The sequence below is a fragment of the Homo sapiens genome, chromosome 7, assembly GCF_000001405.40.
Source record: "Homo sapiens chromosome 7, GRCh38.p14 Primary Assembly".
Taxonomy (NCBI): Eukaryota; Metazoa; Chordata; class Mammalia; order Primates; family Hominidae; genus Homo; species Homo sapiens.
This window is the reverse complement of record NC_000007.14, coordinates 74,113,514-74,129,738: the sequence shown is the minus strand read 5'-3', so window position 1 is coordinate 74,129,738 and position 16,225 is coordinate 74,113,514. Positions and strand designations below refer to the sequence as shown.

The 16,225-nt window shown below is 52.1% G+C and overlaps 1 protein-coding gene across 2 annotated transcripts in view, besides 2 other annotated features; it reads right to left on the bottom strand.

Annotated features, from left to right (window-relative positions):
- LIMK1 (LIM domain kinase 1) overlaps positions 7,214-16,225 on the bottom strand; it is a 38,722-nt gene continuing 29,710 nt past the window's right edge. For both annotated transcript variants that reach the window (NM_002314.4, NM_001204426.2), the window contains 4 exons: positions 13,781-13,937; positions 9,101-9,156; positions 8,690-8,847; positions 7,214-8,600 (listed from right to left, as the gene is read on the bottom strand). In NM_002314.4, the coding sequence (NP_002305.1) occupies positions 8,438-8,600; positions 8,690-8,847; positions 9,101-9,156; positions 13,781-13,937 (534 nt within the window). In that variant the 3' untranslated portion in view covers positions 7,214-8,437. The remainder of the gene's footprint in view (positions 8,601-8,689; positions 8,848-9,100; positions 9,157-13,780; positions 13,938-16,225) is intronic.
- Positions 13,248-13,882: an enhancer, noted in NCBI's record as "H3K27ac-H3K4me1 hESC enhancer chr7:73530187-73530821 (GRCh37/hg19 assembly coordinates)". NCBI's record gives its function as "activates a minimal SCP1, AML or CMV promoter by ChIP-STARR-seq in primed H9 embryonic stem cells {active_cell/tissue: H9 hESC(primed)}" and the evidence as "EXISTENCE:reporter gene assay evidence [ECO:0000049][PMID:30033119]".
- Positions 13,883-14,518: an enhancer, noted in NCBI's record as "H3K27ac-H3K4me1 hESC enhancer chr7:73529551-73530186 (GRCh37/hg19 assembly coordinates)". NCBI's record gives its function as "activates a minimal SCP1, AML or CMV promoter by ChIP-STARR-seq in naive H9 embryonic stem cells {active_cell/tissue: H9 hESC(naive)}" and the evidence as "EXISTENCE:reporter gene assay evidence [ECO:0000049][PMID:30033119]".

Genomic DNA, 16,225 nt, shown 5'->3' with positions numbered 1-16,225 from the left:
GCGTGGTGTGCACATCTCAATTCCAGCTACTCAGGAGGCTGAGGCATGAGAATCGCTTGAACCCAGGAGGTGGTTGTTGCAGTGAGCCAAGATTGTGCCACTGCACTCCAGCCTGGGAAACAGAGCAAGATCCTTTCTCAAAAAAAAAATTACCCAGTTTCAGGTATTTCTTCTTCTTCCTCCTTCCTCCTTCCTTCCCCTTCTCCTTCTCCCCCTCCTCCTCCTCCTTCTTCCTTTTTTTTTTTTTTTTTTTTGAGACAGAGCCTTGCTCTTTCACCCAGGCTGGAGTGCAGTGGTGCAATCTAGGCTCACTGCCACCTCTGCCTACCAGGTTCAAGTGATCCTCTTGCCTCGGCCTCCCAAGTAGCTGGAACTACAGGCACACACCACCACACCTGGCTAATTTTTGTATTTTTAGCAGAGGCGGGGTTTCGCCATGTTGGCCAGGCTGGTCTTGAACTCCTGACCTCAATTGATCCACCTGCCTCGAGCTCCCAAAGTGCTGGGATTACAGGTGTGAGCCACCATGCCTGGCCTGAGAGACTTAATATTATTACGATGTCAATATTCCAATACTCCCCAGTTCACATATAGACATAAACCAATCCCTGTCAAAATCCTCAGCTGGACCGGGAACAGTGACTCATGCCTGTAATTCCAGTGCTGTGGGAGGCTGAGGCAGGAGGATCACTTGAGGCCAGGAGTTCGAGACCAGCCTGGCCAACATGGTGAAACCCCATCTCTACTAAAAATATGAAAAATTAGCCGGGCATGGTGGCAGGCGCCCATGCCCACCAGCTACTCGGGAGGCTGAGGGAGGAGAATCGCTTGAACCCAGGAGGCAGAGGTTGCAGTGAGGCGAGGTTGCGCCACTGCACTCCAGCCTGGGCGACAGAGTGAGAGTCCATCTCAAAAAAAAAAAGAGATCAGCCTGGTTGGGCAGGAGTTTGAGACCATGTCGCTACAAAAATTAAAAAATTAGCAGGGCATGGTGGCATGTGTCTGTATTCCCTGGTACTCAGGAGGCTGAGATGAGAGGATCACTTGAGCCTAGGGGTTCCAGGCTGCAGTGAGCTAGGAGTTGTGCCACTGCACTCCAGTCTGGGTGACAGAATGACATCTTGTGTCTAAACAAACAAATCCCCAGCTGGCTTGTTTTCAGAAATTGACAAGCTCATCCTAAAAATTCATGTGGAGGCTGGGCATGGTGGCTCACATCTATAATCCCAGCACTTTGGGAGCCTGAGGTGGGTGGATCACTTGAGGCAAGGAGTTTGAGACCAGCCTGGACAACATGGTGAAACCCCATCTCTACTAAAAACACAAAAATTAGCATGGTGGTGCATGCCTCTAGTCCCAGCTACTTGGGAGGCTAAGTTGGGAGAATTGCTTGAACCTGGGAGGCAGAGGTTGCAGTGAGCTGAGATCTTGGCACTTAAAAAAAAAAAATTCTTGTGGAAATTCAAGGGACTTCAAATAGCCAAAACAGTCTAGAAAAAGAAAAACAAAGTTGGAAGGCTCACATTTCTCAACTTCAAAAGTTACAACAAAGCTACAATAATGAAGACAATTAGTACCGATACAGGCATATAGCTAAGCCCCCAAATTGTGGATTAGCCTGGGAGGGTTTTTGGTTTCACTCAAAGAATTCAAGGGTAAGCTGGTGGTGTTACACAGCAATCTTTTATTGAACCAGAGCTGCTCCTTGCAAAGCAGGAGTTAATTCATAAGCAATGCACCCAGAGCTGCGCTTGTGGTAATTTTTTTCTTTTTTTTTGAGACGGAGTCTCGCTCTGTCGCTCAGGCTGGAGTGCAATAGCGCAGTCTCGGCTCACTGTAACCTCTGCCTCCCAGGTTCAAGTGATTCTCCCGCCTCAGCCTCCCAAGTAGGTGGGATTACAGGAGTGGGCCACCACGCCCAGCTTATTTTTGTATTTTTTGGTAAAGACAGGGTTTTGCCAAGTTGGCCAGGCTGGTCTCAAACTCCTGGCCTCAAGGGATCCTGTCTTGGCCTCCCACAATGTTGGGATTACAGGTGTGATCCACTGCACCTGGCCTCTTTTCTTTTTTTGAGATGGCGTCTTACTCTGTTGCCCAGGCTGGAGTGCAATGGTACAATCTGGCTCATTGTAGCCTTGACCTTCTGGGCTCAACCAATCCTCCTGCCTTGGCCTCCCAAATAGCTGGGACCACAGGTGTGTGCCACCATACCCAGCTAATTTCTTTCTTTCTTTTTTTTTTTTTTTTTTTTGAGATGGAGTCTTGCTTTGTCACCCAGGCTGGAGTACAGTGGCACGATCTTGGCTCACTGCAACCTCCGCCTCCCAGGTTGAAGCAATTCTCCTGCCTCAGCCTCCTGAGTAGCTGGGATTACAGGCGCCCGCCACCGTGCCTGGCTAATTTTTGTATTTTTAGTAGAGACAGGGTTTCACCATCTTGGCCAGGCTGGTCTCGAACTCCTGACCTCGTGATCCGCCTGCCTCAGCCTCCCAAAGTGCTGGGATTACAGGCGTGAGCCACCACGCCCGGCCTAAATTCTTCTTCTTTTTTTTTTTTTTTTTTAGTAGAGATGGCGTCTCCCTACATTGCCCAGGCTGGCTTGAACTTCTGGGCTCAAGGGATCCTCCTGCCTCAGACTTCCAAAGTGCTGGGATTACAGGCGTGAGCCACCACACCCGGCCCCTAGTGGCACTTTTCTTTTCTTTCTTGGGATATTCATTCTGGAGGCTGCTGTGGGGACTCTGAAGTAGCCCTATGGAGAGGCCCATGGGATAAACTGAGGCCTCCTACCAGTGAAACCGTGCCCCAAAGAGTTAAAGAAACCAGTGACTAGCAGAAATTTTCCAGTTTGCAGGATGGCAGATAAAAAAAGAAACGACTTGCAGAAATGCTGAAATTCATCTGCTGGTGGGATTAACACGCTGGCTGAAATAGATTGGGACCAATATGGCCAACTGCAGTTTGCACAGAACAAGCTTGCTGATGTCACAGCCCGAATTTCCAGTGCATGTTACATACTAACCACCCCCGGAATTTGCACATGCCCCCCATGAGATAACATGAAGAGGGAACTGCGCATGCCTGAGCACTTTCCAGGCCTCCCCTTTGCTTCCGCCAATCACCTAATATCAGAATCCACCCCCTAAACCTTTCCTAATAAAATTACCGCCTTAAAGCCAGCACAGGGGGACAGATTTGAGCTAGACTTCTGTCTCCTTACTGGTTGACTTGCAATAAAGCTATTCTTTTCTGAAAAGCCTGGCGTCAGCTGGGCATGGTGGCTCATGACTGTAAGCCTAGCACTTTGGGAGGTCGAGGCAGGAGGATCACTTGAGCCTTGGAGTTCAAGACCAGCCGGGACAACATAGTGAGACCCCAACTTTAAAAACAAAAAAAACGGCCAGTCATGGTTGCCTGCACCTGTAATCCCAGCACTTTGAGAGGCTGAGGCAGGTGGATCACTTGAGGTCGGGAGTTTGAGACCAGTCTGGCCAACATAGTGAAACCCTGTCTCTACTAAAGGTACAAAAATTAGCCAGGCATGGTGGTGCACGCCTGTAGTCCCAGCTACTAGGGAGGCTGAGGCACGAGAATCCCTTTAACCTGGGAGGTGGAGCTTGCAGTGAGCCGAGATTGTGCCACTGCACTGCAGCCAGGGTGATAGAATGAGATTCTGTCTCAAAAAAAAAAAAAATACATACATAAATCATAAAAACAAAAAACCAAAAGCCTGGTGTCATAGTATTGGCTTGTAGCACATTGGCTCAAGCCCGTTTTTCTCTGTAGAATCAACTGCTAGCACCAAATTGCCCGCCATGTGAGTGAGCCACATATGAGGGTTCTTGGAAGGGAACTTCAGCCCCAGTTACACCCTCAAAGGACTGCAGCCCCAGGAGAGACCCCCACATACAAATTCCCCACCAAAATGACTCCCAAATTCTTGACAAACAGAAATCAAGCTGGGCGCGGTGGCTCACGCCTGTAATCTCAACACTTTGGGAGGCCAAGGCGGGCGGATCATGAGGTCAGGAGTTCGAGACCATCCTGGCTAACACGGTGAAACCCTGTATCTACTAAAAATACAAAAAATTAGCCAGGTGTGGTGGCGGGCGCCTGTAGTCCTAGCTACTTGGGAGGCTGAGGCAGGAGAATGGCTTGCAGTGAGCCAAGATTGTGCCACTGCACTCCAGCCTGGGCGACAGAGCGAGACTCCGTCTCAAAAAAAAAAAAAAAAAACAGAAATCATGAGCAATGAGTGATCCCTGTTACTTTAAGCAACCAAGTTGAGAGGTGACTTCCCTATGCAACATTAGATAACTCAAGTGATCACCTCTCCCCTTCAATCCCCCCACCGAGGGTGGTAGCTCTCTCCTGCAATCATCTCTGGGTTACCTAAGTGTCCACTTTTGGCCTTTCCTCTGTCTTTCAACAGCCATGTAAAAATTTCCTTGTATTGGCTGGGTGTAGTGGCTCACGCCTGTAATCCCAGCACTTTGGGAAGCCGAGATGGGTGGATCATGAGGTCAGGAGATCGAGACTATCCTGGTTCACATGGTGAAACCCCGTCTCTACTAAAAATAGAAAAAAATTAGCCGGTCATGGTGGCGGGCGCCTGTAGTCCCAGCTACTCGGGAGGCTGAGGCAGGAGAATGGTGTGAACCCGGAAGGCAGAGCTTACAGTGAGCGGAGATCGTGCCACTGAGCTCTAGCCTGGGTGACAGTGCGAGACTCCATCTCAAAAAAAAAAACCAAAAAAACAAAACAAAAAAATTCTCGTATTAAATGTGGCTGAGCATGGAGTCTCATGCCTGTAATCCCAGCACTTTGGGAGGCCCAGGAGACTGCTTGAGCCCAGGAGTTTGAGGCCAGCCTAGAGAAGAAAGTGAGACCTTGCCTCTAAACTTTTATTTGAGAGGCAGTTTCACTCTTGTCACCCAGGCTGGAGTGCAATGGCGTGATCTCGGCTAACTGCAACCTCCGCCTCCCAGGTTCAAATGATTCTTCTGTCACAGCCTCCCGAGTAGCTGGGATTACAGGTGCCTGCCACCACACCTGGCTAATTTTTGTATTTTTAGTAGAGATGGGGTTTCACCATGTTGGCCAGGCTGGTCTTGAACTCCTGACCTCAGGTGATCCGCCTGCCTCGGCCTCCCAAAGTGTCAGGATTACAGGCGTGAGCCACTGCGCCTGGCCTCTCACATTTTTTTTCTTTAAATTAACTTGGTGTAGTGGCGTGTATCTATAGTCAGCTACCTGAGAAGCTGAGGTGGGAGGATTACTCAACCCTGGGATGTTGAGGCTGCAGTGAGCCATGACTGTGCCACTGCTGTCCAGCCTGGGTGACAGAGTGAGACCTGTCTCAAAACAACAACAAAACAGAAACAAAAAACCAAATTAAATGCCCTGTATTTGCAATACCTAGTGTGTTTTTAAAATGTTTTATTTATTTTTGAGACAAGGTCTTGCTGTGTCACCCAGGCTGGAGTGCAGTGGCACGATCACAGCTCACTGCAGCCTTGACCTCCCAGGCTCAAGCGGTCCTCCTGCCTCAGCCTCTCAGTAGCTGGTACTACAGGCACACACCACAGCATCTGGGTAATTTTTTTATTTTTTGGGTAAAAACAGGGTCTTGCTATGTTGCCCAGGCAGATCTTGAACTCCTGGCCTCAAGTGATCCTTCCACCTCGGCCTCCTGAAGCGCTGGGAGTCTAGGTGTGAGCCATCACGTGCAGCCCATCTTCTCGATAGAACCCTTTAGTTTAGTTTAGTTTAGTTTTGTTTGAGATGGAGTTTTGCTCTTGTTGCCCAGGCTGAAGTGTAATGGCACGATCTCAGCTCACCACAACTTCCGCCTCCCAGGTTCAAGCAATTCTCCTACCTCAGCCTCCCGAGTAGCTGGGATTACAGGCATGTGTCACCACACCTGGCTAATTTTTTGTATTTTTAGTAGACGGGGTTTCTCCATGTTGGTCAGGTTGGTCTTGAACCCCCGACCTCAGATGATCCGCCCACCTTGGCCTCCCAAAGTGCTGGGATTACAGGTGTGAGTTTTACAAGAAAACATTTAAGTATGAAAGCAGTACCTCCGGAATATGCACGGCCCTCCAAACCCAGCCTCTGAAGACTCTTCACTTGTCCTGGCTGGGCCACCACCTCAGCTCCACCTAAAACTGGGCTGTGTTCTCTTCCCCCCTCCATCCCTGCCTTTTTTTTTTTTTTTTTTTTTTTGAGACAGAGTCTTGTTTTGTTGCCCAGGCTGGAGTGCAGTGGTGCAAACATGGCTCACTGCAGCCTTGATCTCTTGGGCTCAAAGGATCCTCCCACCTCAGCCTCCTGAGTAGCTGGGACTATAGGTGCATGCCACCATGCCCAACTAATTTTTTTTTTTTTTTTTGAGATGGAGTTTCGCTCTTGTTGCCCAGGCTGGGGTGCAATGGTGCAATCTCGGCTCACTGCAACCTCTGCCTCCTGGGTTCAAGCAATTCTCCTGCCTCAACCCCCCAAGTAGCTGGGATTTCAGGCATGTGCCATCACACCTGGCTAATTTTGTATTGTTAGTAGAGATGGGGTTTCACTATGTCAGTCAGGCTGTTCTCAAACTCCTGACCTCAGGAGATCCTCCTGCCTCGGCCTCCCAGAGGGCTGGGATTACAGGTGTGAGCCACTGTGCCTGGCCTGCCAATTTTTTTTTTTTTTTTTTTTGGAGACAAAGTCTCGCTCTTTCCCAGGCTGGAGTGGAATGGCACCACCTCGGCTCACTGCAACCTCTGCCTTTCGGGTTCAAGCGATTCTCCTGCCTCAGTCTCCCAAGTAGCTAGGACTACAGGCATGTGCCACCACGCCCGGCTAATTTTTGTATTTTTAGTAGAGACGAGTTTTCACCATGTTGGCCAGACTGGTCTTGAACTCCTAACTTCAGGTGATCCACCCGCCTCTGCCTCCCAAAGTGCTGGGATTACAGGCATGAGCCACCACACCTGGCCTCTGCCCAACTAATTAAAAAAAAATTTTTGTAGAGACAGGATCTCACTATGTTGTCCAGACTGGTCTTGAACTCCTGGGCTTAAGGGATCGTCCTGTCTCAGCCTCCCAGAGTGCTGGGATCACAGGCATGAGCCACCACACTCATCCTTGTCTTCTGGTCAGGGAAGACTAACTCCTCTTACCTTGACTATTTCCCCAGGGCCCCAGACACACATCGCCACGCAGGACCTGGGTGGGGAGTACGGAATTTATTTTATTGTTCTGCGTCTGGGTTTGGTTCCTTGGACGTCACGGTTCCTGGATGGGGGTGGGTGGGTCCCACCTCCCTAAGTCATGGTCCCACGGGCCTGTTGGGATTGTTTTCCAGGTTCAAAGTGCACTGAGAAAGCTTCACAGTTTTAATACTTCCTAGATGCTCAACTGAGGCAAAGTGACAAAATGGCCCTCCCACCCCCGCCCGCCACAAAAATAAAATCCCAAGCCCCTGGCAGCTGCTGCTGCAGCCGTATGAAAAAATAATACAAACTCTTCTTAAAAAATAGATTACACAGAAAAAACGCAGAGGACAGAGGGGCATGAGGAGGGGCAGGGAGCCTTGGGGGAGAGGCCCGGGAAGGGGCTCTGAGATGACTGCAGGGGCTGAGCTGCTGGTGGACACCTGCCCGGTCCACTGTGCCTATCCTCTCACTGCCGGAGCCGGCTCCTCCCCATCGCCGGCCAGGGCACCGCAGCTCCACGCTCCCTCAAGGGACCCCCTTCACCCTGAGGCTTGGTACCTGCTTCTCACTAAAGTGGCTTTAAGAAAGAAACAAAAAAAAGACCCAAAGCGAGAGAAGGGGCTGTTTGCTCAGCCACTGGGGACCTCCGCCCCATGGGATCAGCCCTCTCTCTGCTTTGGGGGTTTGGAGAGTCCTCGATACCTGTTGCTACCTAGACACCCCCTGGGGGGAAAACGGGCCCCAGACTCCCCATTTGGTTCCTGGGAACACAGACACCTGGAACTTGGCCTCTGCCCTGATGTGCGCCCTCCCACGCACCCAAGCGTTATATGGGGCATGGTTCGGAGGCTGCCTCCTGGCCCAGCCTCCAGGGAGCTATGGACCAGACAGGTGGAGCGTGAACAGGGTTGCTGGGGCAGCGGCGTGTGGAAAGGGGCGTAACTCACACAGGCCCTCCAGCTCATGCAAGGAGAAGCAAGAGGGGACAGCCCTGCCAAGACAGAGGTTACAGCAGGGCGAGAGCATGGTGTGTGTGTGCAGCTGGGCCGGCTCTGGGCCACGGCAGAGAGAAGGCAGGGGAAGCGGTCCACGGGGTGGGAGAAGGCAAGTCAGGGCCTGGCTCTGAGGAGAAGCCTGGGTCCCCACTGTCCCAGCTGAGGGCCACCTCCCGCGGAGGAATCTGGTGGGGGTGGATTCTCCAGAGGTGGGGACAGGGGCAGCTGAGTGGCCCTGGCTCAGTCGGGGACCTCAGGGTGGGCAGGCAGTCCGCTCTCGCCGCGCCGGTAGGTCTCCCAGAAACCTCTGTCCAGCTGCTCCAGCTGTGGGCCCAGTGGCAGGTGGCCGGCCAGGTGCATGCGGAGGGTCTCCAGCCAGTGTTCCAGCTTCACAAAGGATGGCCTGGGTGACAGGTGGGTGGGGAACGGTGGGTCTGGCTGTCCCGGGAATCGGCCCCACCGTCTCCCAGGCCAGGGCCCCACCCCACTCACCTCTTCTCGGGGTCCAGATCGCAACAGCGCACGGTGATGGGGAAGAAGCTCGGGGGGCAGTTTGGGGGGCAGTAGCGGTCCAGGAATCCTCGCACGTTGAGGCCAAAGTCCATGGTGCGGGGCAGGTAGTCAGGGTCTGCGTTCACCCGCCCGATGATCTGTCCAGTACAAGGCCCGGCAGTTACTCCAGGGGGCCCTCAGCCTGGGCATCTGGGTGCCATCCAGGTGGTTTGAGGGCAGGTGGCACTGGGCCTGGCTGCAGCCTGACTGCAGTACCCCATGGGGGCCAGCCCATGCCTTGCTGTGGGCAGGCTTCCTGGCATGAGGCCCCTGCAGATGCTGAGCCTGCAGCCTGGGTGAGTGGGGAGGAGCCCAGGCCTCAACACCGCTGCTACCCAACCCTGGACCTACCTCGCACAGGACGATCCCAAAGGAGAACACATCCACCTTCTCATCATAGCTGCGGCCTGGATAAAGAGACCGACTGTCAGCAGATGAACACATGGGGGTGCCAGGGATGCCAAAAGGCAGGGGACCAGGCCAGCTGGGAGGATGCCCCGGCCGGGAGGTCCAGGCCCAGGAGGCAGATGCCGGCAACCTCTATGGGAACCCAGGCTTAGGCTCTTTCCCCCAACCCCACCAGGTCTGAGCAAGCCTTTGGGAGCTCTGAGGAGCAAGGGGCAGAGCCCTGGACAAGGAGTTCGAGGCACCGATCAGCTGCGTGACTTTGCACAAGTCATGAACTCTGTGCTGGTCCCAAAAGGGAACCATGTCAGGTCTCTGGAATCTGTGAATGTTACTGGGTCAGAAAAAGGGTCTTTTGCAGATGGGATTAAGTTAAGGATCTGGAGATGAGATGATGCTGGATGATCTGGGTGGGCCCCAAATGCCACTGCAAATGCCCTCTTGAGAGAGACACAGAGAAGACACAGCAGAAGAGGAGGAGGTGGCCCTGTGAAGACAGGGGTGGAGACTGGAGTGATGCGGCCACAAGCCCAGGAATGCAAAACAACCAGAAGGTGGAAGAGGCAAGGAATGCATTCTCCCCTAGATCGCCCTGGAGGGAGCGCAGCCCTGTTGGATTTCAACCTTCTGGCTTCCAAAACTAAGAGGGAATAAATTTCTGCTGTTTATTTTATCTTGAGATGGAGTCTTGCTTTGTTGTCCAGGCAAGAGTGCAGTGGTACGATTGTGGCTCACTGCAACCTCTGCCTCCTGGGTTCAAGCGATTCTCCTGCCTCAATTTCCCGAGTAGCTGGGATTACAGGCGCCTGCCACCATGCCCAGCTAATTTTTGTACTTTTAGTAGAGATGGTGTTTCACCATGTTGGCCAGGCTGGTCTCGAACTCCTGACCTCCAGTGATCTGCCCGCCTCGGCCTCCCAAAGTGCTGGGATTACAGGTGTGAGCCACTGTGCCTGACCATTTTCTGCTGTTTTAAATAATCAAGTTTCTAACAATTTATTACAGCAACCTCAGGAAACTGACACAGACTCTCTGAGCCTCAGTTTCCTTATTGTAAAATGGGAATGATACCAGCTACTTAATGATGTTAAAAATAATCGGTACATGGCCGGGCACAGTGGTTCACACCTGTAATCCCAGCACTTTGGGAGGCCGAGGCGGGTGGATCACCTGAGGTCAGGAGTTCAAGATCAGCCTGGCCAACATGGTGAAACCCCATCTCTACTAAAAATAGAAAAATTAGCCAGGCATGGTGGCAGGTGCCTGTAATCCCAGCTACTAGGGAAACTGAGGCAGGAGAATCACTTGAACCCAGGAGGTGGAGGTTGCAGTGAGCCGAGATCACGCCACTGTACTCCAGCCTGGGTGACAATGCAAGACTCCATCTCAAAAACAAAAAACTGGCCGGGCACGGTGGCTCACACCTGTAATCCCAGCACTTTGGGAGGCTGAGGCGGGTGGATCACGAGGTCAGGAGATCGAGATCATGGTGAAACCCCGTCTCTACTAAAAATACAAAAAATTAGCCAGGCGTGGTGGCGGGCGCCTGTAGTCCCAGCTACGTGGGAGGCTGAGGCAGGAGAATGGTGTGAACCCGGGAGGCGGAGCTTGCAGTGAGCCGAGATCGCACCATGCATTCTAGCCTGGATGACAGAGCAAGACTCGGTCTCAGAAAAAACAAAAAACAAAAAACAAAAAACAAAATACCCGAAACAATTAGTACTAAATGTCAATTCTCATTTACTGAATGCCAACTAGGTGGAAATGAGTTTACAACCTTTAATCCTCACACTAATCCCTAAACATAGGAAACACTAAGACTTTTTTGTTTTTTGAGACAGAGTCTTGCTCTGTCGCCCACTGCAACCTCTGCCTCCTGGGTTCAAGCAACTCTCCTGCCTCTGCCTCCTGGGTTCAAGCAACTCTCCTGCCTCAGCCTCCTGAGTAGCTGGGATTACGGGCGCCCGAAACCATGTCCAGCTAATTTTTGTATTTTTAGTAGAGATGGGGTTTCACTGTGTTGGCCAGGCTGGTCTCAAACTCCTGACCTCATGATCCACCTGCCTCGGCCTCCCAAAGTGCTGGGATTACAAGCGTGAACCACTGCGCCCGGCCACTAAGACTGTTTTATAGTCTTCTTTGCGGGCTATGTTAACTCTGTGTGTGTGTGTGTGTGTGTGTGTGTGTGTGTGTGTGTGTGTGTGTGTTTGACACAGAGTCCCACTCTGTCGTCAGGCTGGAGTACAGTGGTGCGATCTCGGCTCACTGCAAGCTCCGCCTCCTGGGTTCACATCATTCTCCTGCCTCAGCCTCCCGGGTAGCTGGGACTACAGACGCGTGCAACCACGCCCAGCTAATTTTTTTGTATTTTTAGTAGAGATGGGGTTTCATCATGTTGACCAGGATGGTCTCAATCTCTTGACCTCGTGATCCGCCCACCTCAGCCTCCCAAAGTGCTGGGATTACAGGAAGGTTTTTTTTTTTTTCTTTTTGAGACACAGTCTTCCTCTGTTGCCCAGGCTGGAGTGCAGTGGTGCAATCTTGGCCCAATGTAACCTCTGCTCCTGGGTTCAAGTGATTCTCCTGCCTCAGCCTCCCTAGTAGCTGTGCCACCACACCCGGGTAATTTTTGTATTTTCAGTAGAGACAGCGTTTCACCATGTTGGCCAGGCTGGTCTCGAACTCCTGGCCTCAAGCAATCCGCCTGCTTCAGCCTCCCAAAGTGCTGGAATTACAGGTGTGAGCCACTGTGCCTGGCCTATTTTTTGTTTTCTTGAGACAGGGTCTCACTCCGTTGCCCAGGCTAGAAGGCAGTGGTATGATCATAGCTCACTGCAGCCTTGATCTCCTTGGCTCAAGTAAATCTCCCGCTTTGGCTTCCTGAGTAGCTGGGACCACAGGCATTAGGCACCACGCCACATGCCAGGCTAATTTAACTAGGTTAACTATGATGAGGTGATGGCTGGGGTCTGCCTGCCCTGAACCTGTGTTCATGTGTCACCTGCTTGTAGAAGGACTTTATAACCTATAATCTGGGCATATATAGGACCATTGACAGCAAAGAAATGGACTGAGGGAAGCAGACCCTGTGGGAGGCAGAACTATGATCCCCAAAGATGACTGCGTCCTGATCCCTGGGACTTGTATACGTCCCACCTTCCATCGGACTCTGCAGATGGGATTAAGTTGAGGGTCTTGAGATGGAGGGCTGCTTTTGGATTATCCAGGTGGGCCCAATGTCACCGTAAGGGTCCCTATCAGAAGGATGGAGGGCCATGGTGGCTCATGCCTGGAATCCCAGCACTTTGAAAGGTCAAGGCAGGAGGATCGCCTGAAGCCAGGAGTTTGAGACCAGCCTGGGCAACATAGTGATACCCCCGTCTCTATTAAAAATTTAAAAAATTGGCCAGGCGCGGTGGCTCACGCCTGTAATCCCAGCACTTTGGGAGGCCGAGACGGGCGGATCACGAGGTCAGGAGATCGACACCATCTTGGCTAACACGGTGAAACCCCGTTTCTACTAAAAATACAAAAAATTAGCCAGGCGTGTTGGCGGGCGCCTGTAGTCCCAGCTACTCGGGAGGCTGAGGCAGGAGAATGGCGTGAACCCAGGAGGCGGAGCTTGCAGTGAGCTGAGATCACGCCACTGCACTCTAGCCTGGGAGACACAGCGAGACTCTGTCTCAAAAAAAAATAAAAAATAAAAAATAAAAAAATTAGCTGGGTGTGGTGTTGCATGCCTGTGGTCCCAGCTATTCAGGAGGCTGGGGTGGGATGACAGTTTGAGCCCAGAAGGTTGAGGCTGCAGTGAGCTATGGTGGCACCACTGCACTCCAGCCTGAGTAACAGAGCGAGACCCTCTTTAAAAAAGAAAAAAAAAAGGAGGAAGGTTAGAGCCAGGGAAAGAGATGCGGGGATGGATGCAGAGATCAGAGAAGAGAAGATGCTTTGCAGCCAGCCCTGAAGACAGAGGAGGGGGCAGCAACAGGAGGAATGAGGAAGCCTCCACGAGCCAGAAAAGGTCAGGAAACAGGTGCCCCGGAGCCTGCAGAAGGAGCTCACCCTACCGGCGTCTTGATTTCAGCCCGGTGAGGCTGACGCTGGACTTCAGACTCCAGAACTGTATGATCATTTATTTAAGCCACTAAGTGTCTTCTATTTATTTATTTTTTGAGATGGAGTTTCGCTCGTCACCCAGGCTGGAGTGCAATGGCGCGATCTCGGCTCACTGCAACCTCTGCCTCCCAGGTTCAAGCGATTCTCCTGCCTCAGCTTCCCTAGTAGCTGGGATTACAGTACTACAGTACTGGGATTACACCCACCACCATGCCCAGCTAATTTTTGTATTTTTAGTAAAGAATGGGGGTTTCACCATGTTGGCTAGGCTGGTCTCCAACTACTGACCTCAGGTGATCCACTCACCTCAGCCTCCCAAAGTGCTGGGATTACAGGCGTGAGCCACCGTGCCTGGCTGCCACTAAGTGTGTTATAGGAGCAACAGGACCCACAGGGTAACTGAAGAGCCAAGGAGGCTGGGAGGGGCCAGGGGCTTGGGAGGTTACAGCTCTCCTGGGCTCCCCCATGGCTTCCCGTGAGGGCCATGATGGGCAGGGCTGAACCACTCACCGTTGATCATCTCAGGTGCCATCCAGTAGGGGTTGCCCACCACGGTGTAGCGCTTCTTGCGGTCTGGCTTCTTGAGGCTCCGCAGGCCCTCAGGCTGAGTCTTCTCGTCCACCATGAGACGCGCCAGCCCGAAGTCAGCCACCACCACATTCTTGTTCTGGGAAGGTGAAGCCGGGTCATGCTGGGACCCGATCCTAGTACTGCCCGCTTGGCCTGCCCCTCCCCAGGACCCCAAGCCAACCTGTAGACAGCCCAGAGAACATACCTCTGATACGCTGTATTGGCACAGGGTGGGGACCCCTTCCTTCCCCAAACCCATCCGCTCTTTGCAAATGGAGCTGCGGGAAGCACCTGAAGATAGCAGTGTGGCTTCCTCCCTCCCACCACACGCTGCACCCTCTGCCCCCTCCCCACCTGCTCCCCAGACCGTCGTGGCGGACCCACTGCTCCCTCCTGCAAGCGCTCCCTCCCACCTGCGGGGGCACTGATGCTGCTTTGTTTCGGAGAGAAGACAGGAATTCTTTTGTTTTTTTTTTCAGACGGAGTCTTGCTCTGTCACCCAGGCTGGAGCGCAGTGGCGCGATCTCGGCTCACTGCAACCTCCGCCTCCCAGGTTCAAGCGATTCTCCTGCCTCACCCTCCCGAGTAGCTGGGATTACAGGCGCCTGCCACCATGCCTGGCTAATTTTTGTATTTTTAGTAAAGACGGGTTTCACCATACTTGGCTAGGCAGGTTTCGAACTCCTGATCTCAGGTGATCCACCCACTGTGGCCTACCAAAGTGCTGGGATTACAGGTGTGAGCCACTGTGCCCATCAAGACAGGAATTTTGATTATAGACCCAGGTCCTGTGCTTGGCATGCCACCAGATTTACTATTTATTTAGGTTGATTGACTGATTGAGATAGGGTCTTGCTATGTTGCCCAGACTGGTCTTCAACTTCTGGCCTCAAGTGGTCCACCTGCCTCAGCCTTTCAAAGTGCTGGGATTACAGGAGTAAGCCACCATACCTGGCCCAATTTTATCTTTTTTTTTTTTTTTTTGAGTTGGAGTCTTGCTCTATTGCCCAGGTTGAAGTGCAGTGGCACGATCTCAGCTCACTGCAAGCTCTGCCTCCCAGGTTCACGCCATTCTCCTGCCTCAGCCTCCCAAGTAGCTGGGACTACAGGCGCCTGCCACCATGCCCAGCTAATTTTTTGTATTTTTAGTAGAGACGGGGTTTCACCGTGTTAGCCAGGATGGTCTCGATCTCCTGACCTCGTGATCCGCCCACGTCGGCCTCCCAAAGTGCTGGGATTACAGGCGTGAGCCACCGTGCCTGGCCTAATTTTATCTTGAATATTCCCAATAAGCAGGTGAGGTCTATGTTTTTTGCTTTTCGGGTTTGATTTTTTTTTTTTTTTTTTGAGGCAGAGTCTCCCTCCCGTGGCCCAGGCTGGAGTGCAGTGGCACGAACACAGCTCATTGCAGCCTCAACTTCCCAGGCTCAAGCGATCCTCCCACCTCCACCTCCTGAGTAGCTGGTACTATAGATACTCACCACCATGCCAGCTAATTTTTTAATTTTTTTGTAGAGACAAATTTTTTTATTTTTTTGCCATGTTGCCTGGCTGGTCTCAAACTCCTGGGCTCAAGCAATCTGCCCATCTTGGACTCCCAAAGTGCTGGGATTACAGGTGTAAGCCAACACAGATCTCTGTTATTTTTTATTTTTTTTGAGATGGAGTCCCACTCTGTTGCTGGAGTGCAGTGACGTGATCTCGGCTCACAGCAACCTCCACCTCCCGGGTTCAAGCAATTCTGCCTCAGTCTCATGAGTAGCTGAGACTACAGGCACCCACCACCACGCCCAGCTAATTTTTGTATTTTTAGTAGAGAGGGGTCTCACTGTGTTGGTGAGGCTGGTCTTGAACTCCTGACCTCAAGTGATCTGCCTGCCTCAGTCTCCCAAAGTGTTGGGATTACAGGCGTGAGCCACTGTGCCTGGCTTGTTGCTGTTTTAAAAACAGGGGCTCGCTCTGTTGCCCAGGCTGGAGTGCAGTGACACAATCAGAGCTCACTGTAACATTTACCTCCTGGACTCAAGGGATCCTCCCACCTAGCCTTCCAACTAGCTGGGACTACAGGCCCATGTCACCATGCCTGGCCTGACTCTAACGGTATTAAGAGGCAGGGCCTGTAAGAGGTGATTGGGTCATGAGGGCTCTGTATGAATTAACAGATTAATGGGTTATTGAGGGACCAGGTTAGTTATCACAAGAGTGGGTCTGTATAATGGTCAGTTTGGGGGTCTCTTGTCAGCCCCTCTTGCCATGTGATGCTTTTTTTTTTTTGAGACGGTGTCTGACTCTATCACCCAGGCTGGAGTGCAGTGGCATAATCTCAGCTCACTACAACCTCTGCCTCCTGGGTTCAAGCAATTCTCCTGCCTCAGCCTCCCGAGT